General features: G+C 36.5%; 1 non-coding gene across 1 annotated transcript; it reads left to right on the forward strand.

The window, feature by feature from the left end:
* The first annotated feature begins 9,852 nt into the window (after window positions 1–9,852).
* LOC124903595 (small nucleolar RNA U3) lies at window positions 9,853–10,072 on the forward strand. Its single transcript, XR_007064822.1, has one exon. It is a non-coding gene; the product is annotated as a small nucleolar RNA U3 (small nucleolar RNA).
* Window positions 10,073–10,489: the final 417 nt, after the last annotated feature.

Consider the following 10,489-nt stretch of genomic DNA (forward strand, 5'->3'; position numbering starts at 1 on the left):
ATAACCTGGATTCAAAGCATCACATGGAAAATGGAAAATGCTGAGTTAAAAAGGAGGCTGGATGCTGGTGTCTGTGTGTGTCCGGAAGGAGTGACCAGAGACTCTCAACTTCCTACATGTTGGCCATTTAGAAAAGAAAGAAAAGGAGAAATGGTGTTTTGGTACTATTACTAATCTCTTCTAAAAAGTAGATAATTAAAAAGAAAAAGCACTGATATTAGGTGATTTGGTAAAATGCCCCACGTGCATATGTGCTCTTTCATGAGGTTGAAAGTGGGTGATATATTTTAAACAATTAAAGAACAAAAATCAAGTTAAAAAAGAAGATTACCTAGAAAAGGCAAACAACACTAACACCAGGAATGGAAACTCAGAACGTAGTTGATTATATTGCCTGAGGAAATTAGAAGAAATGTGGTTACCATCTTCTTTCAGGATGATCTTTTAATTGAAATGTTGAGTAGCTGAATCTGACCCACTCAATTAATATTCATTGGTGATATCTACCACATATATTTTGGGTAGAAAATATGGAAGTAAAAATTGTTTTAAAAAAAGAGAAGTTTGAGCCTGTTTCCTTCTGTCTTGCGGCAGTGATTTTAATTTATTCTGTAATAACCATTCAACAAATATTCAACCTGTACCTAATAAGGACCAGGTATTCTACTACTTGCTACAGATCTTTAAATTCTGAATTTCTAAGATACTGTCCTCAATTGTAACTGTGACATACAAAAAATGTTGAATGCCTATTGAACTGATTATAGGAAAGTCTACCTACATTTGCTACATGTTTTAAGGAGCTTTTCACTAGCATCTACATCCATTTGCATAACTTTTCCTAGATTTCCTCAAGCTATTGTAGTCTTCCTACTATCCATGTAAAATTTCCTCTCTTTATCATTTCCAAATGGGTTTGAGTTAGCTATTTTGTAGAAATTAAATAAATTATAATTACCTACTAGCTGTTATTTATCCTATCTTTATCAAAGAAAAAATAGTTATTAAAGAACAAAATCTAATTTTCACTTCAGGAAAATGAACACTTGTGAATAAATCAATTAATTGATACTCCAATGTTTTGCCAGAAATTCTCCATTTGTTATATCAGATCAGCAGAATAAACATCACTAGATGCCACTAGTAATTATCATTCATCTCAAATGAACCCAGTGGAATTAAGTGACTCGACCCACAAGATTTTATTTCAGTTGCAAGAAAGTAGAATAAGCAATATCAGCAGTTATACTAAACAAAATAACACAGAACAATCAAAGTCAACTTAATGCACCCGGCATCCAGAGCTGGACTGTAAGTCGAGATTCTGGCTTTGCTATTTACTACCTGTGTGACCTTTGGCAAGTAACATAACTTCTCAATGCCTCATCTGTAAAGTGGGTATAGTAGCTTAGCACATAGAATTTTCCTGAAGAATAAATATGTTTTATACACACTAAACACACAATAAATGTTAGCTATGTTTATTATGTCAAAAATATCATTTTAAATGAATGGATATAGAAGAATTTGCAACTGTCTTTTGCTTAGTAGTAGCATAAGACATAGTTTACACCTCTATACCATTATTTAATACATTAACTTGGCTTTCCTGAGTAAATGAATCTTTTTTTAAATGTTACCCTCTTGTTTCATTTCACTGCTTATTAAGACCAAATACTCACATTATCCTCACTTAAAGAGCTCCTAAAAATCCCTCTTCCCCCACCAGAACATTGCCTGACTTGTATAAGTAAGATTATAAATCTCTTTCCCCTTCAGTTTCAACAAGCTACTTATACAACACAAACACGGAGCACACCAAAGCTTGTAAGTCAATGTTTACATTACATCCTAGTGAATGCTTTTTTCAATGTGCAGTTTAAAATGTAGGCTTCTTGCCAGGGCAGGAATTTTGTCTGCTTCATGTGTTTTCTAGGTTCACACTTGACCGTGGTTTGGCATAGGAAGAATATTTCTAGACTGTTTTGTGCTGCATATCACCCAAAAAAAAGTGAGGGTTGGGGAGAAGAAAACCAGAGAGATATTTCTTTCTTAACATCTCAAGAAGTGAGCCTGACAGCAGCCACAAGAAGGAGCCAAGGAGAAAGAGCACAGCTGCAGGAGGGATGTCTCCTCTGTCAGTCTCCAAGCCCTGGCACCCTTTCAAAGAGCTGCTGTCTGCGTTCATAGTAATCAGAGTTGTAACACGGAAGAGAAGTGGAGGCAGGTCCACCTGAGAACTGTGTATGTGAAAAAGACTTCAACCTGATCCCAGTGCTAAATTAGATAAGTGCAGCCACCAGGATGAGCACTCTGCCTCGTCATACTCCCAGGACAATTTTGAGCCTCCCCATCAGTGTCAAATTACCTGTATTGGTGCTTGCTGCAGAAAGTTATAAGGACTTCATCATGCCTTTTCTTTGGGGTAAAAGTAATTTTAAAAGAAGAAGAGAAAGTTAAAAGGAAAACTTGAGACCTCAGAGCCATAAGGAAAGTGCATAGAAATATCATCATCTAAGAAGATGGTTTTCCAATTTGACTACACACTGAAATAATCAAGGGAGCTTTATATGTACTAGCACTGGTTCCCTCCCCAAAGGTTTGGTCTGGGGTGCAACCTGGTCATCAGGATTTAAAGCTCCCTGTGTGGTTGAGAAACACCAATCAATCTGGCAAATAATCTAAGCCCCAATCAACAAAAGCAGTGTGCACTGTGCCCCAGGCATTTTCATGACTTTACTCTAGAGTGAATTGACAATATGAGAAAACACTGGGTCCTAGGACTGGCTTCTTATTTGCCAATTAGCCCATCTGTGAATATTTATTGAGCATTTACCATGTACAAATCTCAAGACTGATTCTCAAAAGGGATCAGGTGACATTTTTAAAGACCTGACCCTCTTACTCTCTCCTTCTGGAACTTTCTGCCTCAATTTTTCTCCTTAAGGAGGGGCTAGCTAATTATCACTATAGCAATTTTTATCCTTCCTAAGAAGATTTAGTAAAAGTAAACCAGCCTTCATGTAATATGATTTGTTTCAAATGGTTAGGAATAAGGGTAGATATATAAACATAAAAATGTATTTTCCGTATTTCCTAATAGAGTGAAATTGCAAAGATGTCAGCAGTTCAACAAGCATCTCAGGAGACTGACTACACGCACTCACCCTTCTGGTTTTCCGGGAGCTAGAGCCTCACCAAAGGAGATGATAGCTAGGAAAGAAGAAAATCACACAACGGCAAGGACAGAGGTAGAGAAAGCAATGAGCTAAATGGGGGATGGAGTGGAGAGTGGAGGAGAGTTGATACAATGAAAACTTCACCTGAATTAAATTTAAATGAGTTTAAAGGAGCAATGAACGATTCGCAAATCAGGCAGCCTTCTGAGCAAGGATAGGCTCAGAGACTCCAGCGCAGCCACGTGGTGGATAAGATTATGGACAGAAAAAGGAAAGTGAGGTACAGAAAACAGAAGTGAGGTACAGAAGCAGCTGGATTGGTTACAGCTCGGCATTTGCCTTATTTGAACGCAGTTAAAACAGTTGGCTACAGTTGACTGTCCAAAACTCAGTGATTGGCACAAGTGCAGGTTACAGTTTGTTTGTACATCTACTTGTTAGAGTTCATGATGTACAAAAAACCTTTAGGCCGAACTTAAAATATGTAAGGAAGCAGCTTTAGGCTAAACTTTGATTTAACACGGTGAAAGAGAAGAAGAAAATGGATCACTTCATTGCCTGAGAGGTTCTCATTGACCAGGGTTAATTGGTGTCAGCAAAAGGCATCTCCCAGTGAATCCACTTAAAATGGAACCATAATTTGATAAAAACATATTTCAAAAGGATTTGCTGAGAACAATTGTAAAAATTAAAGCAAAAATTATTGAAGCACATGCATTTTATTTTATAAGTAACAAAATATATTTTATAATTAAATGCAGTACTCAGAATCAAGAAGAGTAAATCAAGTATTGACTTTTGTGGTAATTTTCCCAAGAAAATTGTAAGGCAATATAATACAGCCATCATTTCACATTTCACTTCTGCAACACAAGACTATCACCTGGAAAATATTTGAAGTTTTTTAAAATTAGGTTTTTCTGAGGGTCTTACTAAGACTTTGATATTCACATTCTCTATTTAGCCATCCTCCTTCTTGATTTCTCTTCTCTGATTCTTTTTTTTTTTTTAACTTCTTTTTTTTTTTTTTTTTTGAGACAGAGTCTCGATCTGTTGCCCAGGCTGGAGTGCAGTGGCGCCATCTCGGCTCACTGCAAGCTCAGCCTCCCGGGTTCATGCCATTCTCCTGCCTCAGCCTCCCGAGTAGCTGGGACTACAGGCGCCCGCCACCACTCCCGGCTAATTTTTGTATTTTTTAGTAGAGATGGGGTTTCACCTTGTTAGCCAGGATGGTCTCGATCTCCTGACCTCGTGATCCACCCGCCTTGGCCTCCCAAAGTGCTAGGATTACAGGCGTGAGCCACCGCGCCTGGCCTTCTCTTCTCTGATTGTTAAATTAACTCTGCCAGATCCCTATATGTCAAATAGTGGCTTAAAATGCGATTTATGCAGCTCACCAACATTACTTTCATTCTTTCATAAAATTCTACAACTTTTGAAATATGCATAATTTCTCTTTGCAGTCAATTTGTATTATATTGTATCACATTGTTGGCTTTTTATAATATTTGATAGTCAGTGAGAGACTAACCAAGACATTGGCACAATAGGCTGATATAAATGTTCTGCTAAGCCAGGAGAGCTAGTTGGATGGGGATTAGTTGTATAAGTGGTTAGTTCAGTAATGGACATTTCTGGGTAGTGACCACTTTTCCCTAGACTGCCTAATAACTTTAGAACTTATATGCAGTAATTAGATAATGAGGTCCCCATGTATAAAAGCCAGGTTTCAAAGTTAGTCCAGGTATTTTGCCTTCTTGCTCTTTTTTTTCCCCACCCCAAGATTGGTTATTGGCTACCTCGGGAAGTAAGAATCTCAGGTAAAATCAGAAGTGACTCCTTTTATATTCTCTGACAGATGAATGTTGAAGTAATAAGAATAAGTCATTTAATGGGAAATTATCTAATGGATGCCCCAAAATTAATTTCTAAAGGGGCATTATTCCAAGAATTAAAAAGCTCTAAACTCATGAGTGAGTTTAGATTATAGAAGTTATTAATAACCATATTCATAGATAGCTAGGTATAAGAGTAATTGCTGGCCCTTGGATGATTAAATGATTTGAGATAGCTTTTGTTACTCAGTAGAAGTTATCTTACGGAAGATAAGAGCAGTAAGAGGTGATAAACATGATGGAAGCTGGACAAGAAAACATCCAAGAGATGTCTACTGCTTACATCACTGGGACTTCCTATGCCTATTCTATGTTACTTGCTGCAGTAAAGGTCTGTGCTCTATACATTGTTTTCTATTATACTTAATTGGAACAGTCTTCTTAGGAAAGAGACAGAAGGAAAGGAAATACATCTTAATGCCCTCTCCTTGATTGAACCCTCCCAATAATTTAACTTTGAAGTTCACACTGTTAAATGTACACATATGAATGAGCGAGGCAAACAATTAAGATGTTTTTATTTTATTGCATTAAAGCTCAATGTGGATTCTCAGAAACTAAAGAAATTTCAATTAACTTCAAATCAATTAATATTATACAAAATGATACAGAATAAATCCCAAAATTTCAGACTAAATGGCACATGCCAACTAGGCTTTGCAAAAGGAACCTCACTTGCTTAAAGTTCTTCAGCTTAAAAAAATAAAACAAAAAACAAAGAGGCAAACTATATTAGCAAACGCATAATTCAGCAAGCGGAGAAACAAAATATCAAGAATGTAGCAGGTGTAGAAGCATTAATTATCAAAGTATTGATTTAATAAAATGAATAATAAACAGTAAAGGCAATATGAGGAAGAGAAGGAAATTTCTGGCAACTTTGTTTAGATCCCTTTTCAGCTAACAGTCAAGCAAAGAAAGTCTCTTTTAAGCCAGAAGGATCACAATATTCCTTTCCATCATGGAATCCCAAATCAAGTTTCTAGCCTCAAGAACCAGAAACAAGTGGCAATATGGTCAATTTGTGTAATCAGCCAATGCAAAGACCAGTCAACGCCGAAGGAAAATCATCCTGGGAAGCTTATTATGCCCAATTTAAAATAATAAGCCAAATGAACCATCAGACAGAGGAACAGAAAGCACTATTTCTTGCTGCTAGTCTAAAGGGAACTGCTCTGATTGTGCTAAGCAATTTGTCAGAAAAAGACAGAAAGAGCTCTCTAGTATTATTAGGACATTAACCAGATTTTTTATGGTTGGACAAGGCAGGATTGGCCAGGGTGAGAATCAAGAATTCTATTAGGAAAAGTTGTTAGTCACTAACCAGATTGACTCAAGATACTGAATAATCATTGTGTTGAATCTATCCATATGCCCTGAGGACCAAAATGGCATCAGAACTCCATTTTCTGAAACATTTTGTAAGTCATCCAGTGGAAATAAAGTTACATTATTTTTGCTTTAAATCACATATTATACACACTCTCTAAAAGACTTATTATTTAGTAATCTTCCTGATAAATCTTGGGAGGAAATATTGCCTAAAGTAAAATAAAGATAGAGGATGCCCTCAAGTATTCAGCAAAATGTGAATCAATACGTGTACAAGAAAATTAGCTGATGCCAGGAAAAGGACAATCCGAAACGATGAGAGGAAATAGTACCAGGTGCTCACACGGGGCCAGAAAGAATTTCTATATCCAGCAACCATACTGGAAAATGCAAAATTAATCGTGCATTTTACAGACTACTTGGAAGGGTCTTCTACCATTAGTGGGAAATAATTAGCACTAAATTGAGCATTCTGCTGTTCCCACCTAACAAATTTTAAAAGCAAGGCCTAGCGAAAACAACTTTTACAAAGAAGAATGAAGCAGAAGGACTAATAACTGATTTTAAGACTTAATATAAAGTTATAGTACTCAAGACTTGATGGTATTGCTACCAAGATGGACAAATCAGCAGAACAGACTGGAGTCCAGAAATAGACCACGTCTGGCCAGACTTGCATATTTGTGACAAAAGTGGACTGGCAATTTATTGGAGAGAAGATAGTCTTTCAACAAATGATGCAGGAACAATTTAATATCTCTATTTAAAAAATGAAAGTTAATTTATACTCTGTACCATATGAAAAATTAACTCAAATGGATCATAAACCTAAATGTGAAATCTAAAACCATAGCATTTCTAGAGAAAAATATAAGAGAAAAACTTTGCAACCTTGGGGTAGGCAACAATTTATTCATATGTGACATCAAAAGCATGATGTATAAAAGAATAAGTTGATAAACTGAAATTTTATTTTCTGTTGAGATAGGGTCCCTCACTTCCTAGGCTGGAGTGCATTGCTGCAATCACAGCTCTCTGCAGCCTTGACTTCCCTGGCTTAGGTGATTCTCTCACCTCAGTCTCCCAAGTAGCTGAGACTACAGGCATGTGCCATCATGCGCAGCTGATTTTTTGGTATTTTTTGTAAAGATGGGGTTTTCCCATGTTGCCCAGGCTGGTCTCAAACTACTGGGCTCATGCAATCCACCCACCTCAACCTCCCAGAGTGCTAGGGTTACAGGTGTGAGCCACCATGCCCAGCAGATAGATTGGATTTCATAGGAAATATGAAATTCTTCCCTTTGGAAGACATTGCTGAAACAATAAAAAGACATGCTGCAGTTTAGAAGAAAATCTTTGCAAATCATATATCTGATTAAAAAAAAAGTGTCCATAATATATAAGGAACTCTCCAATCTCAATAATAAGAAAACAAAAAAACAAATTTTTTAAATGGGCAAAAGATTTAGATAGGTACTTCACCAAAGAAGACATAAATTACAAGAAAGTACATGAAAAGATGCACAATAGCACTAGACATTTAGGAAATTCACATTAAAACCACATGAGACACCGTTGCCCACTATCAAAATGGCTGAAATAAAACAGATGGACCACACCAAGTGTTGGCAAAGATGTGGAGGAACTGGAACTTTCATATACTGCTGGTAGAAAACTTGGAAGTTTCTTAAAAAGTTAAATATACAACTACCATATGATCCAGCTCAACTCCTAGGTATTTAATTTTAAAAAATTGAAAGGATATGTCCATAGAAAGACTTGAAAGCAAATGTTCATAGATTTATTTGTAATAGCCAACAGCTGAAAACAACCAAAATGTCCATCAAAAGGTAAACAGAAAAACAATTTGTGGTATATCCATACAAAGGAATACTACTCAGCAATTAAAAGCAATGAACTATTGACACATACGACATGAATTATCTCAAATAATTATGCTCACTGAAAGAAGCTAGACAAAAAATATATATGTAATATGAATTCACGTATATGAAATTCTAGAAATTGCACACTTAACTATTATGACCAAAAGCAGATCAGTGATTGTTGGTCATGGAGGTTAGGAGCCATGGGGAAGGATTAACCAAGGAAAATAAGGAATTTTGGGGGGAGTGATGGTTATATTTACTATCTTGATTGTGGTGATGGTTTCAAGAGTGTATATGTTTGTCTAAATTTGTCATGTATGTTTTATTTATGTGCAGTTTATTGCATGCCAACCATACCTAAATAAAGCACATTTTTAAAAGGATAAATAGAAAACACAAATTAATACAGTAGACATGTGGAATGGGTATCCTTGTTTGCCTTTCCAGATTCACCATCTGTATATACTTTTCTACCCTGCTGTGTGGCCTGGACAAAATCAGAGACTTCCTTGCTCTCTTGTTTCTGAAGAGTAGAAGATCAGAAAGAAGAAAAGTGAGGTTGAGTATTCACTTCCCCAGCTTTCTCACTGCAGGATTACATCAGACTGGCTGATTCCTTAATCAAAGGTCTCAGTTCTTGTCAGGTCACTCTACACATAGCCTTCTCTGACTCTAGGTCCCAGTAACTACTCCTTTCTCTCATTCCCCCAGCACTTTTGGTGGAAATGAAGCCTGCCATTATGAGCTCTGGGTTACTTTACTTTTAGTGTTCCCATACCCAGACTGTACTTTTGTAAGTGTTTTTTTTGTTTTGTTTTGTTTTGTTTTGTTTTGTTTTGTTTTGTTTTTTACAAATGATGCCATGTATTTCCTTCTGGGGTTTCAACTGACAAAAAAAAAAAAAAAATCCAAATACATCACTAATTATACTAAACTCTCCAGTTAAAAGTTTAACTTTTAAAATGGACAGATTGAAAATAGACAGATTTTTTAATGGAAGATTGTATTTTAAAACTATAATAAAATCAAAGTATATGTTGCTTACAAGTGGTGTACTTAAAACACAAGGGCACAGAAATGTTGTGAGTATAAGACGAAAAAGCATCCCATGCAAATATTACTACTAGCCAAAATAAAGTGAATATATTTGTAGTCACACCAGGCATCAAGCATTATTGGAAATAAGAAAGAAACCAAACAAGGCCGGGCATGGTGGCTCACACCTGTAATCCCTGCATTTTTGGAGGCTGAGGCAGGAGGATCACTTGAGGCCAGGAATTGAAGACCAGCCTGGCCAACATGGTGAAACCCCATCTCTACCAAAAATACAAAAAAATTAGCCAGGTGTGGTGGCGGGTGCCTGTAATCCCCGCTAATCGGGAGGCTGAGGCTGAAGGATCTCTGGAACCTGGGAGGTGGAAGTTGCAGTAAGTGGGGATTGCGCCACTGTACTCCAGCCCAGGTACAGAGAAAGGAAAGGAGAGGAGAGGAGAGGAGAAAAAAGGGGAGGGGATGGGAGGGGAGGGGAGGGACAAATAATGATAAAAAGAAAAATTCAAGACGATACTTTCAAGAATCATGATCATTCTATACAGTTCATTACTAGAAAAGTTTCTCTAAACATGTAGAGCGCTGGAAGCCATGAGGAGGAGTCTCAGTGTTGTTGCCTGAGCATGAAGCAGACTCTTGTTGCTTCACTGCAACCACCATGTACCATTGATGATGGTTCTTCTCTTCCTCCAGGAGAGTAAGAGGGAAAGAATTCAGTCTGAGTGGTTTCCCTTCTTGTTAAAAAAGAAAAAAAAATTCACCAGGAAGTTATAACTATTTAAAACACGTATGTATTTAATAAATAGCTTCAAAGTATATAAAGTAAAAAATTGACAGAATTACAAAAAGAAATTGAAAAAGCCATAAACATGATAGAAGATTTTAACACACTTTTCTCAGTAATTCAGGAAAATAAAAATTAGGTAAAATGTAGAAGATGTGAACAACCCAATAATTAGAGTATATGCTTTACAAACACACAATTGTAACCAAAAAAAGTGTCACAAAGCAAACTTCTATACATATCAAAATATAAGCATCAAAAAACTCAAAAACAAAAACAAAAAAGACCCACGTTCTCTGATTATTAGTTTGAACTTGATAACAATAACAAAATCCTATACATGAAGAAACACTTCAAAAA

The sequence above is a fragment of the Homo sapiens genome, chromosome 15, assembly GCF_000001405.40.
Source record: "Homo sapiens chromosome 15, GRCh38.p14 Primary Assembly".
In the NCBI taxonomy this organism is placed as follows: domain Eukaryota; kingdom Metazoa; phylum Chordata; class Mammalia; order Primates; family Hominidae; genus Homo; species Homo sapiens.